Below are 20327 nucleotides of genomic sequence, written 5' to 3'. Positions count from 1 at the left end.
TGTATTTTAGTAGAGACAGAGTTTCACCATGTTGGCCAGGCTGGTCTCGAACTCCTGAGCTCAAGTGATCCGCCCACCTTGGGCCTCCCAAAGTGCTGGGATTATAGGCGTGAGCCACTGTGCCTGGCACAATTTATTTTTATTTTAAAAATTTTTAGTAGAGATGAAGTATCACTATGTTGCCCAGCCTGATCTTGAACTCCTGGCCTCAAGCAATTCTCTTGTCTTGGCCTCCCAGCATGCTGGGATTACAGGTGTGAGCTACCATGCCTGGCCTAGATATTTCATATATATGAAATCATACTGTTTGTCTGAGGGTCAAAGAGTTTTACTTGGCCATGAATATCAAACAGCACAAGTTGCTCTTAACTATTTAAAGATGAATTATAATCAAGAACCAAAAAGGGCCAGGCATGGTGGCTCACGCCTGTAATCCCAGGACTTTGGGAGGCCGAGGCAGGTGGATCACGAGGTCAGGAGATTGAGACCATCCTGGCCAACATGGTGAAACCCTATCTCTACTAAAAATACAAAAATTAGCCGGGTGTGGTAGTGTGCACCTGTAGTCCCAGCTACTCGGGAGGCTGAGGCAGGAGAATCTCTTGAACCTGGGAGGCGGAGGTTGCAGTGAGCCGAGATCGTGTACTCCAGTCTGGCGAAAGAGTGAGACTTCGTCTCAAAACAAATAAACAAACAAACAAAAATTCCCAACCATGAGCCCAGACACCCTCAATTGGTTGCTATTGTTAGAGAATCCCCAAACCAAATTCCTAAGGAAGGCCATGCCTTGCTTTTTGTTTTTGTTCTTTTGAGACGAACTCTACCCTGTCACCCAGGCTGGATTGCAGTGGTATGATGAAAGCTCACTGAAGCCTTGACCTCCTGGGCTCAAGCAATCTTCCCACCTCAGCCTCTCAAGTAGCTGGGACTATAAGTGCATGCCACCATGCCCAGCTAATTTTTGTATTTTTTGTAGAGATGGGGTTTTGCCATGTTGCCTAGGCTGGTCTCAAACTCTTGAGCTCAAGCTGTCTGCCTGCCTCAGCCTCCCAAAGTGTTAGGATTACAGGTTTGAGCCACCGTGCCCCACTGGCCATGCCTTTTAATATATATTAGTCAGAACCTTCTTTGGGAAATTTTTTGTAAGGATCAGCTGGTAATTTTAATTATGTTAACTCAGGTGCACCTCTAGATAACTTACTTAAAGCATTTTATTTTATAAACACTAAGCCCATGCGTTAGTAGAATGAATATAAACCTTAGCATGAGGAGAGTTGGGTTCCAGTTCAAACTCCATTTACTAGTTAGACACCTATTGAAACTTATCTTAAAAGCAGTTTCCTGATAGCAAAATGGGGATAACGGGAGTGTGGATTATATGAGATGAGACACGTGGAAATGTCTTATAACAACAGGCACCTTTCTCCTACCATGTTGTTATTATTGTCACATATTTGGCTGAGAAGAAAATGTGCAGTGCTAAAGTGTGAAGTCACCAGTTACACCAGCTATGTTTGGCAGATTATGCTTACGTATTGGTAAACTGGCTGTTAATAGTTGTTAGAAGTTTCTATCCTGCTGCTTTTTCTTGACCAAATATCATTTGTAACGCCAGACTCCCTGACTGGCTTATGTCTAAACCTGGAGCGAGTCTATAAAGCAAATGTTGAAAGAGTTCAGATTGTTCACAGACTGCCAATAAAAATTGTCTACACATAATGGCCATTTTTTAATGGGAGAATAATATTTTCTATAAGTTTATAAATAATATACTCAACAGTTGTTCAATGAAGCTATTTTCTAGAAATGAATTGTTCAATGTTATAATGCCCCTGAGGCCTAGCACAGCACCTGCCGAATAGTAGGCACTAAGTAATTATTTGTTGAATAAATGAATGAAAGTCTTTTTAATGGCTAGCAATTTATTCTAATATTGAATAAAAAAGGACCTGTAAAGGAGTGAAGCACATTCGAAATTACTAGGCCTAAGGAGATAAATGTATATGCCTGACCTTTGGAAAGTAATCCACTTTGATTTTACTAAAACATTCCTAGGGAAGAATCTCATGATTGTCTAAGGTACCACAGTATTTCTAACTCCATTCAGACTTCAGGCTCGACAATCATGGCTCTGCAAGTCTGTATAAACTTCAGTGTAATTTAAGGAGTCTGACCTCTTTTTTTTTTTTTTTTTTTTGTTGAGACAGGTTCTCACTCTGTCACCCAGGCTGGAGTGCAGTGGCGTGATCTCAGCTCACTGCAACCTCCACCTCCCAGGTTCAAGCGATTCTCCAGTCTCAGCCTCGTGAGTAGCTGGGATGAAAGGTGCCCGCCACCGTGCCCAGTTAATTTTTGTATTTTTAGTAGAGATGGGATTTCACTGTGTTGGCCAGGCTGGTCTTGAACTCCCGACCTCAGGTGATCTGCCCACCTCGGCCTCCCAAAGTGCTGGGATTACAGGCATGAGCCACCATGTCTGGTCTGACCTGTCACTTTCTAATGACCGCAAGCAATGATCCCACTGAAGGATGCTTGTCTGAAGCATTTTCTTGAGGAAACTGGTTGGAAAAAAAAAAAAAAAGCCAGGTGTGGTGGCTCATGCCTATAATCCCAGCACTTTGGGAGGCCAAGAAGGCGGGTGGATCACCTGAGGTCAGGAGTTCAAGACCAGCCTGGCCAACGTGGTGAAACCCTGTCTCTATTAAAAATGCAAAAATTATCTGGGCGTGGTGGCGTGCCCCATAGTCCCAGCTACTCGGGAGACTGAGGTGGGAGAATTGCTTGAACCTAGGAGGCAGAGGCTGCAGTGAGCCAAGGTCTCACTACTGCACTCCAGCCTGGGTGACAGAGCGAGAGACCCCCTTCTCAAAAAAAAAAAAAAAAAAAAGTTTATTTTTTTTTTAGTAAACCAATAATTGAAAAAAATTCAGCTAAGTCATTTTCATTTGAATTTAAAATTTTGTTTTTTGAATATATATCTTTATTGAGCTCAAAATTCAAAAAGTGCCTTTAATGAAAAAGATACTCTCCAAGTCCTGTCTGTCAGCTATACAGTATCATTTCTTGTAGGAAACCTGTTTCTTTTTTTTTTTTCTTTTTGAGACGGAGTCTTGCTCTTGTTCCTCAAGCTGGAGTGCAATGGCGCGATCTCCACTCACTGCAAACTCTGCCTCCCGGGGCCACGCCATTCTCCTGCCTCAGCCTCCCGAGTAGCTAGGACTAAAGGCGCCTGACACCGTACCCAGCTAATTTTTTGTATTTTTAGTAGAGACGGGGTTTCACTGTGTTAGCCAGGCTGGTCTCAATCTCCTGACCTCGTGATCCGCCCACCTCGGCCTCCCAAAGTGCCGGGATTACAGGCATGAGCCACCGCTCCTGGCCATAAGAAACCTGTTTCTAATTTATTGTGTATCCTTAGTTCTCAGATAAATACACATACACAATTTCTTTTCTTCTTTTTTCTGTATAGATAGCATCATACAATACACTCTTTAGCACCTTGCCATTTTTTAACTCAATATATCTTGTGGATGGTTGCATTTTAGAGCAGAAACACTTTCTTGTAATTTCTTATAGCTACGTAGTCTTTTATTTATTTATTTATTTATTTATTTATTTATTTATTTATTTATTTTTATTTTAAGACAGAGTCTCATTCTGTCGCCCAGGCTGGAGTGCAGTGGCCCAGTCTCAGCTCACTGCAACCTCTGCCTCCCTGGCTCAAGCGATTCTCCTGCCTCAGCCTCCCGAGGAGCAGGGATAACAGGCACGCACCACCACGCCTGGCTAATTTTTATATTTTTAGTAGAGATGGGGTTTCTCCATGTTGGCCAGGCTGGTCTTAAACTCCTGACATCAAGTGATCCCACCCGCCTCGGCCTCCCAAAGGGCTGGGATTACAGGCATGAGCCACTGTGCCCAGCTTGAATCTTTTTATATTTATTATCTGTGGATTTTGTTTCATTCTTACGAATGCCCTCCTTAGTCCATGCCTATAAAATATTTGCTAATGGTTTCCTGTGGTATGGTTTGAGTTTTCTTTTTTACATTTAAATGTTTGATGTTCCTAAGGTGTGATTCGATTTAGGTTGTTAGGTATAGTTCAAGTGAATTTTTATTATTTTTATTATTTTACATATATTTAAGTCTAATTTTACTGTTTTTTGTTGTTGTTATTGTTGTTGCTGTTGTTGTTGGAGACAGAGCCTCACTCTGCCACCCAAGCTGGAGTGCGGTGTATGATCATAGCTCACAGCAGCCTCAAATTCCTGGGCTCCAGTTATCTTCCCACCTCAGTCTCCTGAGCAGCTGGGACTACAGGCATGGACCACTATGCCTGGCCAATTTTTTAATTGTTTTTATTTTTGTGGAGACAAGGTCTCACCATCTTGCCCAGGCTGATCTCAAGCTCCTTGGCTCAAGTGATCCTCCCTCCTTGGCCTCCCAAAGTGCTGGGATTACAGGTGTGACTTAGTGCACCTGGCCTCAAATGGATTTTTAATAGGTTAACCTGTTTATTTTATTTTATTATTTATTTATTTTTTTTTTTGAGACGGACTCTCGCTCTTTCACCCAGGCTGGACTGCAGTGGTGCTATCTTGGCTCACTGCAAGCTCTGCCTCCTGGGTTCACACCATTCTCCTGCCTCAGCCTCCCGAGTAGCTGGTACTACAGGCGCCTGCCACCACACCTGGCTAATTTTTTGTGTTTTTAGTAGAGACGGGGTTTCACCATATTAGCCGGGATGGTTGATCTCCTGACCTTGTGATCCACCCCCCTCGGCCTCCCAAAGTGCTGGGATTACAGGCGTGAGCCACCGTACCCGGCAGGTTAACCTGTTTATTCCAATGATAATTCAATCCTTGATTGAGTAATCCGCCTTTTCCACAGTAATCTGAATTGTCCCCTTTATTAAATATTAAATTTCTATGCATATATGTGGGTGTATTTTTGGTTTTCTGTTCTATTTCACTGATTGGTCTTTTCATGCATTAGTAAAACTGCAGCCTTTTATTTATTGAAGTATTGTACTATTTAGTACATAGATAGGACTAAGCCTTTTTCATGCCTGTGTTTTGTAGAGCTTGTAGTTTAGGAATTATTTTAAAATTTTTACATAGTTTAAAAAACCAAAAGGATGATCTTTTATGACATAAAATTATATAAAATTCAATATGTGTTTATAAATAAAGTTTTATTGGGACAGAGCAGTACCCATCATTTATGTATTGCCTCTGACCCCTTTTGCACTGCATTTGATGAGTGGATAATTTTTTTTTTTTTTTGAGGTAGAGTCTCACTCTGTTGCCCAGGCAGCAGTTCAGTGGCACGATCTCAGCTCACTGCAACCTTCGTTTACCAGACTCAAGCCATTCTCCAGCCTCAGCCTCCTGAGTAGCTGGGACTACAGGCGTGAGCCACCATGGTTAGCTAATTTTTTTTTTTTTATCTTTTGAAGAAATGGGGTTTTGCCATGTTGCCCAGGCTGGTTTCCAACTCCTGAGCTCAAAGTGATCCGCCTGCCTTGGCCTCCCAAAGTGCTGGGATTACAGATGTGAGCCATTGAACCCAGCCTGAGTGAGGCTAGTTTTGACACAGACTTCATGCCACAGAGTATAAAATATTTACTGTCCGGCCCTTTATAGAAAATGTTTGTCTGACAATTGCTCTAAATTACTAGAAGAGCTAATTTATTCTAAATACATTGTGATATCTATAAAAAAATTTTCAATGAAATTATTATTAGGATGTGATTTAGGGCCAGGCACAGTGGCTCACACCTGTAATCCCTCCAGTTTGGGAGGTCGACGAGGGCAGATTGCTTGAGCCCACAAGTTAGAGACCAGCCTGGGCAACATAGGGAGACCCCCATCTCTACAAAAAATATGAAAATTAGCTGGGTATGGTGGCTCAGGCCTGTAGTCCCTGCTGCTCAGGAAGCTGAGGCATGGGAATTGTTTGAGCCTGGGAGGTAGAGGTTGCAGTGAGCCCTGATTGCACCACTGCACTCCAGCTTGGGTGACAGGGTGAGACCGTGTTTCAGAAAAAAAAAAAAAAAAAAGATATGATTTAGGCCAAGGCCTGGGCCCTGTGGCTCACGCCTATAACCCCTCTACTCTGGGAGGCTGATATGGGCCAATTGCTTGACCCCAGGAGTTCAAGATCAGCCTGGGCTACTCAGGAGGCTGAAATGGGAGGATCGAATGAGCCCGGGAGGCTGAGGGTGCAGTTAGCTGTGATCTTGCTACTGTACTCCAGCATGGAGGACAAAACGACACCCTGTCTCATTAAAAAAAAAAAAAGAAAAGAAAAGAAAAGGAAAAAAAAGAATTTTTTAAAAAGGATATGATTTAATTTAAATTATTTTTGTCATCAAACTGTGTACTTCCTTGAGTTCAAAATGGCTGAATCTATGGTTTTAGTACAGTTGCAATTCATTGAAATGTGAGTTTCCTTATGTCCAAAATAGAAGACATTGAAACATTTCTTTTTATGTTTATATTTTCCAGTATACAGACAGTGATACTTAAAAATTAAGATGGGACTGAAACTTTTTATGCATTAGATGTCAATATTTTTCTGGTACATGTTTAGGTTAGAGGGCCAGTGATTGGCTTTCTATAGTATTTTTGTTCGCTATAGGTTCCCTGATTCAACATTAAGTCTAGTGTCCTTGAGAATAATTTTTTGACTTTTATTACATATATTGGACCTATTCCCAGTGTATTTTCTCAGGTTTGATAGAAATATCACTGCAGACTTTCTCATACTAGTTGTATTAATAGGATTTCTGTCCAGTGAGATACACAGTAAGAGAATTCCAACTGAAGGACTTTGATTTTTAATGTATAAATATGACTTTTTCTCTCATTATTTATTTATTTTTCGCTACATGATAAAGTGGTAAGGATTTTTTGGTATTCAATAAGGCCAGAACTATTGCATATACATTTTGATTATAAATTATTTGGTGCTAGGCTGGGCACAGTGGCTCAGCCTATAATCCCAGAACTTTGGGAGGCCGAGGCGGGCAGATCGCTTGAGGTCAGGAGTTTGACGATAGCAGCCTGGCCAACATAGCAAAACCTGTCTCTACTAAAAATACAAAAATTAGCATACCTGTAATCCCAGCTACTCGGGAGGCTGAGGCAGGAGAATTCCTTGAACCCGGGAGGTGGAGGTTGCAGTGAGCCAAGATTGCACCACTGCACTGCAGCCTGGGCAACAGAGCGAGACTCGATTTCAAAAAAAAATTATTTGATGCTTAATATTCTGTAACTTGGAAAGTGCTTATGAATGAAAATAATCAAGATAAACTTTGTGCTTTTCACTCTTCAGGTTTTATGTGATAAAACATTGCTACCTACAGTTCATTGTCCCTCCTTGGAGAGTGGAACACTGCTGAGCGCAATCAATCAAAATGAGAGTAGTATGTAAAAGGGACCAGAATCATGTAGCATGATTTGAACAGCAAATAACAGGAAACACTGGTCCAGTTGGATGCTAATAAAGCACTGTATTATTGCCAATAGCAGGCATTCCAGGCATATTATGCCAAGGGCTCAAATTCAGTTTCTTGGTTTGCCTCCCTTTCCACCTTGTGTTGGCTTCCTCTTCAGGTTGGTAGCAAAATACTTGTAGCTATTTCCAAAATCATATCCTGCTATAAACACTGTGAGAAGGTAAGAATAGACAAGTTCTTTTTTGTGTCTCTCTTCAGAAATGAGACAACCTCTGCTGGAAGCCTCCTTTAGGTTTTGCTTCATTTCAAAACTGGGACATGTGCCATTTCCTAAAGCAATCACTGGCAGGGGAATTAGATTATCATGATTAGTTTAAACTAATCACCTGGAATTAAATTGATGTTAGGAGTTAGTGTCCATCAGCACTAAACAGGGTTCTATTTTTCTATATTTTGACATCATCTGTGAGTTGAAAAACTGCAACTGTGAGCCAGAGATTGACAGAGTGATAGAGCCACTGAATAAGACATGGATTTGTGACCTGGGAACATGAGAAGCCATGCTAAATGAAACCCATACATTTGAAGCTGTCAATTTCTCATAGATTATCATTTGTTCAAGTATAAGGAATCTTGAGAAACTCATGTAGGATGCAAGAGAAACTATATTTTATTTGAGTGCATATTTGTTAACATATTCCTGCTTTTTAAGTACTCTACCATCAGGCTGGGTGCAGTGTCTCATGCCTGTAATGCCAGTGCTTTGGGAGGCTGAGTCGGGAGGATCACTTGAGCCCAGGAGTTTGAGACTGCAGTGAGCTATGATCACGACACTACTCTCTGGACTGGGTAATAGGGCAAGACCCTGTTTCTAAAAACAAAACAAAATAATAAAAACAAAAATAAAAACCCCTCTACCATCAGAAAGTTATTCACACTTTTGGTTTCAGATGTGTCCGTCTTTCTGTGAGTCCACATCCAGCAGAGACAGGCAAAGCTAAGAGCACCAGGGCTCCTCTCCTTCCTGTGTGTGTGCGCTTCCCATGAATATACGAAATAAAGATGATTACTTACTCCATGTGTTACACTTGCAAACCTTGCCTTTTTTATTGCTCTAAAATATGAGGTTACCAAGATTGTGCATAACTAGCATTAGACAACTCACTGCACACTATCTCTGACTCTGTATTTGTGGTCCTATGTGGTACTTTGGATAATATTATTTTCATAATTATGCATGAATAATTTTTCCAGCGGCACCAGCTGGCCCTAGCTGGCAGCCACCCCTACCCAGTACATAAGTACTTTGTTGTTTTTCAGAGATACTTTTTCAATGTTGAATATAATTTTTTTTTTCAAGAGACTGGGTTTCACTCTGTCGCCTCGGCTGGAGTGCAATGGCATGATCATAGCACACCTTGAACTCCTGGGTTCAAGCAATCCTCCTGCCTCAGCTTCCTGTTAGCCACCACACTGGTGAGCTGGATTTTTTTATTTTTTAAGCTTTAACACAAAAGTTAAATGGTTTCTTTATTTCACTCAAGGGTTAATAATTGAGAAAGTGATTATCAACATGTACACAAAGCTAACTAGAAGATTAGCTTTCTCAGTAGAAATCCAAGTGTCCTGTTAACACTGGTGTCACTTATAAATGTTCTGAAACTTTACCTTTTCTTTCTTTCTTTTTTTTTTTTTTGACTCCCAACATAAAGGCCATACTAGAAAACCTCAGGAATGTAATAATTTATTTGTAATTTTTTTTCTTCAAAAAATCCCTTGAAGTTCAGACATTAACACTGATACGCAATACCAAATAGCTCCACAGGACAGATGGAAACAGGAAAAGTCAGATGGTTGGCACTTAAAAGGAACAGTAATTAAGCAATTGAAAGTGGATTGGATTGTTGGTTAATATTTGTTCATTCGAAAGAATCAAGTGGAAGAGGTAGCCTCTTGGAAGAGGGAGATTAAGTTGCACCTGATGCTTCGCCTCACTGACCAAGGGGCTGGGATATCTTGTTAACTCCCTCTTTTCTGTTTAATTGCATTCTGTACTCTAATTTTCTCAGATTGTATATTCTATCTTATTTTTCCCTCTGGGCAAAAAGAAATCTTTCTGTTTACTTCACCCTAAGTCTTTCCTCTGAGAAAAGGCAGTCTTCTCTAACAAGGGAAAGAAAACCAGGAGGGAGAGAGGAAGGAGGGGGAAGAAGGGAAGATGAGAGAGAAGAGAGAGGAGAGAGAGACAGATAGAGGAGAGAGAGAGAGAGAGAGACAGAGAGAGAAGTGGAACATCGGATTAAAGTAGAAGACAGAGGAGAGAGGGGAAGGGAAGAGGGAGCAGGAAGGGGGATGCTCCACGCTCTCAATCTCAGGACTGTGCAAAATGATTTTCCAGGAGATGCACATGTGGTCTCATATTTCTCACAATAGTCCACCCAGGCTCCCTCCTCAGGTCTGTCTCCCACTAGCAAAACCCAATATAGCCAGTCTCGATGCCTTACCTGGAGGGAGGACCAGGACCTGATGCCAGGTCTGGGACTCCACTGCTGTCCCTGAACAGACTTGTTGGAGGCATTCACATTTCTCTCCACTCTGGGGGAAACAGCCTGCAACAGGAAAGGTGTGAGTGGGTGTTAGTGTTTTCCCAGGGCCACCTGGTGGTCCTAGCTTGCTGCACCCTGCTTTTTGACTGAGGGAAGCAGCAAGTGTGACTGAATCTCCTTCTTGCAAGGGGCTACCACTTCCACTTGATTCTCTCTCTCTTTTTTTTTTTTTTTTTTTGAGACAGAGTCTTGCTCTATTTCCCAAGCTGGAGTGCAGTGGTGCAATGTCCACTCACTGCAACCTCTGCCTCCCAGGTCAAGCCATTCTCCTACCTCAGCCTCCCGAGTAGCTGAGATTACAGATGCGTGCCACTATGCCCGGCTAATTTTTGTATTTTTAGTAGAGACGGGGTTTCACCATGCTGGCTAGGCTGGTCTATGAACTCCTGACCTCAGGTGATCTGCCTGCCTCAGCCTCCCAAAGTGCTGGGATTACAGGCGTGAGCCACAGTGCCCGGCCGTCCACTTGATTGTTTCAAATGGATGTCTGTGGGGCACAGAAAGGGGCTCAGCTGAGGAGGCCTATGGGTATTACCCAGGGAGCAGCCTCAGGTTGGGGTAACTGCTGTGCTGCTGCCACAGCTGCAGGAGGAAGAGGTGGAAAGGCACTGGGGGAAGTATGGAATCAAATTTTTAAAAACATTTTATTTTGGAGCTACTTGCCCCAAATCTTGAAATCAGAAAGTCCTGAGGGCTCTGTCTTCAAAATACATCCCAATACATTTCAACCACTACTACTCTATTCTAAAACATGTTGGGCTGGGCGTGTTGGCTCATACCTGTAATCTCAGCACTTTGGGAGGCTGAGGTGGGTGATCACTTGAGGTCAGGAGTTCGAGACCAGCCTGGCCGACATGGTGAAACCCCGTCTCTACTAAAAATACAAAAATTAGCTGGGCATGGTGGTTCATGCCTGTAATCCCAGCTAATCAGGAGGCTGAGGCAGGAGAATTGCTTGAACCCAGGAGGCAGAGGGTACAGTGAGCCGAGATCATGCCATTGCACTCCAGCCTGGGCAACAATAGCAAAACTCTGTCTCAAAAAAAACAGAAAAAAAAAAGTTGACTTATTTTTTTTTTTCTAAAATTCAAGCCCAATGTGCAAAATAATCAAACTATTAGGATGCCGTTTATTTTGGTTTCTTGGAATGACCACTGTTAATAAAAATGTTTGCTCTTCTAATTTATATATAAAAAGGAATATTCAGGTTTGCTTGATGTTCTGCAAATTTTGAGTGACTCAAACACATTATGAGTATTTGTTTGGTTACCAAGCTGAGAATAACATAAAAAACTGACAAGTCAAAAGAAAAAAAATTTTTTTAGGTTATTTGTAATAAAATGATGTGTACTTCTAAAGTTAAAAAATCTTCTTGTTTATTTTATAGACTGGCATATAACTGTTAAGACCTCGATTACAAAGAAGAAAATGTCTTTGTCATTTATCAATTGGTGACTTTCATAATATACTTTAATGGGGTAAAGTCCCTGGGGATTTGTCAGTGCCCTCCTTAATTCTCGTGACAACTCTCCTTCTCTTACTTGAGAAGGGAGTGTTCGTGATCATTTGACCTGTTTTAGGGAACTGTCCATGCGTTTTACAGATATTTTGGAAAGTTCTTTTTAAAATATTAATGTTTCTTGTTAATGATTAATGTTTAAAAATGTAAACTAGAATTTTTCAAGTAGTCTATGCTATCACAATTCTAAATTTACTGTTAGTGTATGACCTTCTCCCAGAAGTTAAATCAGCTCAAGTGGCTGAATAGTTCTCCTTCATTCAGTGAAGGAGAGATTAAAAGAGGTAATATTTCTGAGTGGTGGAGGCGCCTGCTTAAAACAAACAAACAAACAAATATTTATATAGGCAGTAGATATGTGATGAGTTGCTCCATATCAGAGAACTTTGGAAATTAAGAGGTTTTTCTGACCTCTTGTGAAAGTCTTGTTAAAAATGGCAAGAAATTAAAAAACTTTTAGAAGCTTTGCTATTACCCAAGGGGGTAGCCACATAATAAAATGGAGATTCATTCAAAGTCCAATAACCCGGAATCCTGAGGAAATAATTTACCACTATGCTAAACAAGTAGCATTAACCAAAGCAGTTGCCATACTGATGGTTTGTAAATACGTTCTAGCCATTGTCTGCTTATCTCGAGAATGGATTGAGGATATTCCTGATAGACAGCGAAGGTTTTGCTGATAAAATTGCCCGACTGTTATTCTGGACTTAAGGAATTCCAACGTATTCTTCAGTGATTGGGTGGTGGGGGGTGTGTCTGGCACACATTTCCCGTGACTGTTATTAAAAAAACAGCTCCAAAATGCCTTTTAACAATAATAAACACACTTGCTGTACCAAATGAATATTTAGAACAATTAGAAGGAAAAAAATGAATTCTAACACTAAATTTGAGAACGCTCTCCAAGACTTGAACTTCCATGTCTTGGGAATTTCTAATTAGCCTTGATGGCAATAGCAACTCCTCCTGGGATTCATAGGCTACTCCATGCAGTTAGGAATTCACTTCCTGAACCTGTACTCTGCCATATCACAAGCTCATGTTTCTAAATACTACAAAGGATTCATTTGATGCATCTAGCTTTTAATAGGTAACAACAATCTTCCCCAAATATCCATCTAATTAGTCTCTGCATGACTAGAAATCTGAAGATTTAGTCTTTTGGAAAAGACTTCTAAAAATCAAAGGAAAAACTACCCTTGTCCTCAATGGAAAGGAATTCACTGAGGAATCATAAACTGAGGATTCTTAAGTATCTTCCAGAACAATGATCTTTAGAAGAAGACGATCAAACCAACATCTTCAGTTCAAGCTGCTGACACCAAGTAGATACTTCACCCGAGACAATAAAACAAGATACATGTTCTGGTATCTTTGCCCTCCTTTAAAAATTTTGCTCTCATTATCAAAGTACCTCATTGTCCCCTAGAGGCCAACCAAAAGTTTTAAGATTATTTCACAAATTATATTTTATCTTAATCTTCTGTAGTACAGAATTTCCGTGCCACCTAAGGAAAGGCAAAACTTTCTTGTGCTTTTTTCGCAGACTATAGCTATTGTTTTTAAATTTTTATCATATTTTAAGAGACAGGGTCTTGCTCTGTTGCCCAGGCTGTAGTGCTGTGATACTAGCTCACTGCAGGCTTAGACTCCTGTGCTCAAGCAATTTTCCCACCTCAGCCTCCCGAATAGCTGGGACTGCAGGTGCGCACCACCTCACCTGACTATTTTTTTAGTTTTTAGTAAAGATGAAGTCTTCCTTTATTGCCTGGTCTGGTCTCAAAATCTTGGCTTACGGAGCCCCCCCCCGCCCCCCCGCCCACCTCCCCCAAACCCCCTGCCTTGGCCTCCCAAAGTGCTGGGATTACAGGCATGAGTCACCACTCCCCGATTCATTGTTTTAAATCTAACTGACTAATGCAGTTTTTATCCTCTACCTGATTCCACTAACAAAAATTTAATAGCTATTCAACACTTCAAAAGGCAGATTTTCTTCTACAGGTTTCTTCTGGAATTTGAATTTTCCTGACAGTATTAATTTTTACCTTCAGTTTTATCAATATTGAACACTGACCTCAAACAACAAAGTATGTCTGCTGACATTATTGCATTAATGTATGAATCTCTCCTTGCAGTGTTAGTCCTTAATCTTCAGTAACTCCCCAGCCTTCACTCAAGCAATGTTCACATGTTGAAGAATTAATTTTCCTGCTCTCACTGTGGTAAATGACACTTATACACCCCATACCCCTTTCAGTTTGTGCGAAACTAAGGCACTACTTTTTATGTGGCTATCAGGTCACCTGATCATTATACAAACTTATCTAGCGTAATATGGAGTGAGTTTTAAACTATTTTATTAATAATATTTTTCAATATTTTAAACATCTACTTCTATAGGAAATGATGTTTTTCTGAGAAAGGTACTCAGACACCTAAAATGAGGCAAGTATGGACTATTCAGGAGACCTTCCAGGAGAGATGACTGACTCCCTCTTCATCTATACTCTGGGAGCTCCAATTCCAGTAATAGGAATAATATGACTTTTCTACTAGAAAAGGCGGTCCAAAATTTGTCTCTGGTCTTAGCAGAAATCAATAGATGACACTATTTCTTTTCTGGAGGTCCAGCAACCTAGCTTAAATTAAAGTTTCATGGTGTATGAATGGTTTCATAGTTTTTGGTTTCTTCTTCGCCAGCCAAGGACAGCTTTTATTTGATAGCAAACACTGTTTGCAGCACCTCGCTAAAACATTACTGCTCAGGCAGAACAGTTTTGTGGCAAGGTTAAAAGACTACCTGTCTCTCTAGAACAGATTCAGATAGAGTTGGGGCATGATTTCATGGCCTGGTTTTGAAATCTAGTTCTTTGTCTTTGCAACCTGTTGCTAGGATTAATAACTATTTTGTTTCCAGGACTTACCTGAATTTGACTAGTACATCTTGTTCAGCCTTAAATGCTACTGTAGAGTCATTATATATTCACTGTGTGTATTTTGCAAGAAAATGTACATGAGAGATCAACTGTATGCAGATGTAGAGAAGGTTCTCCCGATAAACTTGTGACAAGTGGATTCTGACAATGGTGTAGATCTGAACCCCACAGATGAAATTCCTGATGGCTGACTTTGTCTTTGGTCAAAAGTTGAGGCTGAAGAGTGAAAAAGCACCTAGGAACTCACAGTTGGGAGCTGACAGGCATAGTTGAATCTTCCCTACCAAACATAAACATCTCCTGCTAAATATTTTAACCAGTCAAGGTTGCTCAGTGATTGTCATGCAACAAGGTGTAAAAAGTCCATCTGTAACTATATTTGAAACCAGAGAGAGAGAACATTCCACAATGAAGACCACATTAATCTCTTTACTTCCCTTCCTAGATAAATTTACCAGGATAATCACCAAATTGCCCCATTTTAGAAAACTGGCCGCTACACCCTAAACACTCCTTAGACTCACCCAGTCAACTCCTACGATTGGCTCCCTACAACATTCTTCTGTTTGTGTAAAGTGTATTTTCCCGTGTTGTTTGCTCTCCCTTGATGCAGCACACCAAACAAACCCCGTCTTGTTGGAATACACTCTGGTCATTGGGTGACTGCCAGCACCTGTGCAAATCTAGGGAGCCCATTTGGAGCCTTCTTGCACCTCCATCCCTCAACCCCTGTCCTGGTTCATACCCAGTAGATCTGCTCCAAAATCCTTTGAATTTAGAATGAAGAAAAAATTTTGATTCCGGGGCATCAGAAAGGCAAGCACTAATCAGATGATTAAGTTTGGCATGAAGGATTAAGCTCAGAACAGATAATTACTTGGAATGAATTATCTTGGGAAGAGATACCGGGATTGTACACCCACCCTAAGGTAGTTCAAGGGGCAGGTTGTTGGGTTCCTATGTTAAGGACAGAGCCTAGGCCCTCCCTCACTTTTCCAAGTCTTTTGCCAACCAGTTGCTTGGACTTGGCCCTATTCTGTATCAGGTCGGAGCAGAGCATGGACATGGGAACGAGTGCTCTCAGCAAGAAGCCGTGGTGGACCCTGCCTCAAAACTTTCATGCACCAATGGTGTTTCACATGGAAGAGGACCAGGAGGAGCTCATCTTCGGTGAGTGGCCTTTGCCCACGTCCCCTTCTTCATCCTTGTCTTCTCAGTTTTCACTCTTCCTCTCCCCTCCCACCTTCATCAGTCACATATTCCTACCCTGAAGGCCACCTCCCCATTCCCTAAGGGCTGGTGCTTGACAGAACCTCCTCTCACCTCTTATGCTCACAGGGCATGGTGACACATACCTTCGCTGCATTGAGGTGCACAGCCACACCCTTATTCAGCTGGAGAGTTGGTTCACAGCTACAGGCCAGACTCGTGTGACTGTAGTCGGACCACACAGGGCAAGGCAGTGGCTGCTGCACATGTTTTGTTGTGTGGGGAGCCAGGACTCCTATCATCATGCTCGAGGTAGGTATCCTTGGCTGAACTGTGGTTTTAGACTTGGTGGTGGAGTTCTGGCTAAGTTGTGTAGCATCTTGGATTCTTGAAGAATCCCTTGTGTGGCTGGGGAATCCAAGTGCTTCCCAGAGTCCATTGGGAAGAAAAGTGCTCATCTTTTTTTGTGGCATGAGATTGCTTAAGGTGGAGAGGTAGCTGGGAGGTGTAAATGGGCTACCTTGGAAGGTCTGGGCTGGGGTGACATCCTCCCTGCAGCCTCCCTGATGGAGTCCAGGCCTGCCAATGGGCCCCAGTTATGGGCCCTGGTTCATTAGCCCTGGGCACTTATTTTGCAGGCCTGGAGATGCTGGAACGTGTCCGAAGCCAGCCTCTGACCAACGATGACCTGGTCACCTCCATTAGTGTGCCACCATACACTGGAGACCTGTCTTTGGCTCCCAGGATAAGTGGAACCGTGTGTCTTAGCGTTCCTCAGCCTTCCCCTTACCAAGTGATTGGTTGTTCGGGTTTCCATTTGAGTTCACTGTATCCGTAATTAAGGACTGATCTCCCCTGGGAAGTGGGGATGAGAGGAGAAATCTTGGCTTCACTTTTGGTGAGAAAGACATGATAGACACTGAGGAAAGTTTGAACTTGTGGCCGGGACCTGTCCCTCTCAGGTCTTCTAGACATGTCTGAGGGAAGTCTCTTGAATGTAAGAAAGTGTTATTGGCAAAGCAATCCAATAAAATAAGCTACCTATGATGCAAAGCCTTCGATGTACTGTCCTTTTTCCTTAGGATGAAATTATTCACCCCAGAGTTTTCTTGCACCTTAAAGTGCAGACAAATGGGGAGAATGGAAAGGTGGGAGGAAGGGTCCAGACAGAGATGGAAGGTGTTCCCACCACAACTGCCTGGTGAAGTAGGCAGCCAGGGAAGCTGGTGAACATGAGGTAGCCAGCCTTGTCCCTGATTGCCCAAGTTTGTGGGTGGGGGTGGGGGTGGGGGTGGAGGGGGTGGTTTTCAGGGAGCAATGGATTCTGAAGTCCCTCATGCCATGAATTAAATCAAATACGAAGGCTTCCTGAATCTCCATTGAAGAACGTTCTCCGATTGCCAAGTCTATATTTGGATCTGTCTAGGCAAGATTATGGCAAGCTAAACCTGTCCTCAGCTGAACTCTTCCTCTTCAAATTTGCCCCTTCTCCAGCAGCCTGCATCTTATATTGAGGCAATTGCAGTACTCTAGGAGAGTGACGATGGTGACTTGGACCAGAGTGGAGTGGTTGAAGTGTTAGGAAATGGTTGAATTTGGAAAATAATTTGAAGCCAGCAAGATTTGCTAATTACATGGTTTTCAGAAGGCCAATTACCAAATAAAGGTTAAAAGATCATATTCACAGTAGAAAAACACTTAGAGAAAATGTCGAAAGAATTCAGGTTATAGTAGTCAAATGCTGTGGCTCATGCCTGTAATCCTAGCACTTTGGGAGGCTGAGAAGGGCTCAGGTGTTGGAGACCATGGTAACATGGTGAAACCCTGTCTCATCCAAGAATACAAAAATTAGCCTGGTGTGGTGGCACATACCTGTCATCCCAGCTGCTTAAGGTGGTCACTGGGGTTGCAGCATTGCTTGAGCCCAGGAGGCGGAGGTTGCGGTAAGCCAAGATCATACCGCCACACTCCAGCATAGGTGACAGAGTGAGACTCTGTCTCAAAAAAAACAAAACAAAACAAAAACAAAACAAAAAAAACTCAGGTTGTTTACAGACTGTCACACAGACTGCCAAAATAAATTGTCTACACAAAATGGCCACTTTTTTCTTTCTAGAATTGAATTGTTCAGTTAGTCCTGAGGCCTAGCCCAGTGCCTTAATAATTATTTGTTGAAAAGTGAATGAACATCTTTTTATTTTATTTTATTTTATTTTATTTTATTTTTGAGATGGAGTCTCGCTCTGTCACCCAGGCTGGAGTGCAGTGGCGTGATCTCGGTTCACTGCAAGCTCTGTCTCCCAGGTTCACGCCATTCTCCTGCCTCAGCCTCCTGAGTAGCTGGGACTACAGGTGCCTGCCACCACGCCCAGCTAATTTTTTGTATTTTTAGTAGATACGGGGCTTCACCGTGTTAGCCAGGATGGTCTCGATCTCCTGACCTCATGATCCACCTGCCTCAGCCTCCCAAAGTGCTGGGATTACAGGCGTAAGCCACCGCACCCAGCCATGAAATTCTTTTTAATGGCTAGGAATGTATTCTAATATTGAAATAAAAATAACCTGTAAAGAAGTGAAGCACATTCTAGTTTGCTAGGCATACAAAGATAAATGTATATCCCTGACCTTTGGACAATAATCAACATTGCTTTTACTAAAAATTTCCTAGGGAAAAAGTCTCATGATTGTCAAAGGTACCATAGTATTTCTAACTCCAATCAAACTTCTGGCAAAGGTCTGTGTATACCTTAGTACAGTTTAAGGAGTCTGAGTTGTCATTTTCTTTCGTCTTTCTTTTCTCTTCTTTTTTTGAGATGGAATCTTGGTCTGTCACCCAGGCTAGAGTGCAGTGGCGTGATCTCGGCTCACTGCAACCCCTGTCTCCCAGGTTCAAGCGAGTCTGGTGCATCAGTCTCCCTGGGATTATAGGAATGCCACCACGCCTGGCTAATTTATTGTAGTTTTAGTAGAGATGGGGTTTTGCCATGTTGGCCAGGCTGGTCTCGAGCTATTGGCCTCAAGTGATCCACCTGCTTCAACCTCCCAAAGTGCTGGGATTACAGACGTAAGCCACTGCGCCCGGCTGAGCTGTCATTTTCTAATGAGCTGTAAGCAATGATCCCACTGAAGGATCCCTGTCTGAAGTATTTTCATGGGGAAGCTGGAAAAAAAAAAAGAGAAAACAACAGGGTAGGTGCGATGGCTCAAACATGTAATCCTAGCACTTTGGGAGGCGAGGCAGGCAGATCACTTGAGGTCAGGAGTTCAAGACCACCCTGGCCAACATGGTAAAACCCTGTCTCTATGAAAAATACAAAAATTAGCTGGGTGTGGTGGCGTATGCCTGTAATCTTAGCTATTTAGGAGGCTGAGGCATGAGAAACAGTTGAACCTGGGAAGCAGAGGTTGCAGTGAGCCAAGATCATGCTACTGCACTTCAGCCTGGGCGATACAGTGAGACTCCATCTCAAAAACAAACAAAACAAAGCAAAAAAACACCAAAAAACCAAGAATGATGCTAAATGGATTTGTGTGTGTGTGTGTTTTGCTACCATATTTCCTGTTCAATAGGGTCAATATTTATTTTCCCATAGAGAATGTCCTCTGAAGCCTTAAGATATGTTCTGTATGTGGAACTACTCTTTATTGTACTGAACCAATAATTGAATATCAGCTATGTCATTTTCATTTAAACGTAAAATTTTGTTTTTTGAATAGATAATTTCTTTATTGGGTTCAAAATTCAAAAAATGCTTTTAGTGAAAAAGATACCCTCCAAGTCCTGTCCTTCAGCTATACAGTATCATTTCTTGTAGGAAATCTGTTTCTAATTCCTTGTATACCCTTGGTTCTCAGATAAATACGCATATACAATGTCTTCTTTTTTATATTCAGATTGCATCATACAATATACTCTTTAGCACCTTGCCTTTTTAAAAACTTAACAATAGGTCTGGCAGAGGGTTGCATTTTAGAGCAGAAACACTTTCTCATAATTTCTTATAGCTATATAGTGTTCCATTGTATGGATATAGCATTCAACCCATTCCATATTGATGGACTTTTAGGTTATTTCCAACCTTATGTTGTAACAAACAATACTGCAGTACTGCAATGTGTATATGTCATTTTGCACATGTGTGAATATATTTGTGGGATAAATTGCTAAAAGTGCATTAATGGATATAGCCAAGTTTCCTTCCTAATTGTTGACAGTTTATACTTCTACCACATGTGTATGAGTATCTATTTCCTTACACTCTCACCAATAATGAGTATCAAATATTTTTAATTTTTGTCAGTCTTATTGATAGATGAAAAATGGTTTCCTAGTGCTGCTTTAATTTGCGTTTATCTTATTACAAGTGGCACTGAATATCTTCTTATTGGATTCCCATATGTGTTTTCCAATGCCTTTTCATTCATATGTATACACAATTTATATTGCACTTTCTGTGACCTGTCTATTTAGGCTGTTGTCCATTAGGTTGTTATTGATTTGTAGTACCTCTTGATATATTATAAATATTAGTGTGTTGTTTGTAAAATAAGCCACAAATACTTCTTTCCAGTGTGTCCTTTGTTTTTTACAT

General features: G+C 41.6%; 1 protein-coding gene and 1 long non-coding RNA gene across 6 annotated transcripts in view; both read left to right on the top strand.

Moving 5' to 3' along the window:
- KHDC1 (KH domain containing 1) overlaps positions 1 to 16788 on the top strand; it is a 69065-nt gene extending 52277 nt beyond the window's left edge. For all 4 annotated transcript variants that reach the window (NM_001395215.3, NM_001251874.4, NM_001395216.1 and 1 more), the window contains 3 exons: positions 15572 to 15696; positions 15865 to 16047; positions 16374 to 16788. In NM_001395215.3, the coding sequence (NP_001382144.2) occupies positions 15585 to 15696; positions 15865 to 16047; positions 16374 to 16573 (495 nt within the window). In that variant the 5' untranslated portion in view covers positions 15572 to 15584 and the 3' untranslated portion in view covers positions 16574 to 16788. The remainder of the gene's footprint in view (positions 1 to 15571; positions 15697 to 15864; positions 16048 to 16373) is intronic.
- The window catches only part of LOC122539213 (KHDC1-KHDC1L), an 86616-nt gene that overhangs the window by 52058 nt on the left and 14231 nt on the right, over positions 1 to 20327 (top strand). For both annotated transcript variants that reach the window (NR_173146.1, NR_173145.1), the window contains exons 3-4: positions 15572 to 15696; positions 15865 to 16047. This is a non-coding gene — a long non-coding RNA (KHDC1-KHDC1L). The remainder of the gene's footprint in view (positions 1 to 15571; positions 15697 to 15864; positions 16048 to 20327) is intronic.

This window comes from Homo sapiens, chromosome 6, assembly GCF_000001405.40.
Source record: "Homo sapiens chromosome 6, GRCh38.p14 Primary Assembly".
NCBI lineage: Eukaryota > Metazoa > Chordata > Mammalia > Primates > Hominidae > Homo > Homo sapiens.
The sequence above is the reverse complement of the archived record's forward strand: the minus strand, read 5'-3'. Positions and strand labels throughout refer to the sequence as shown.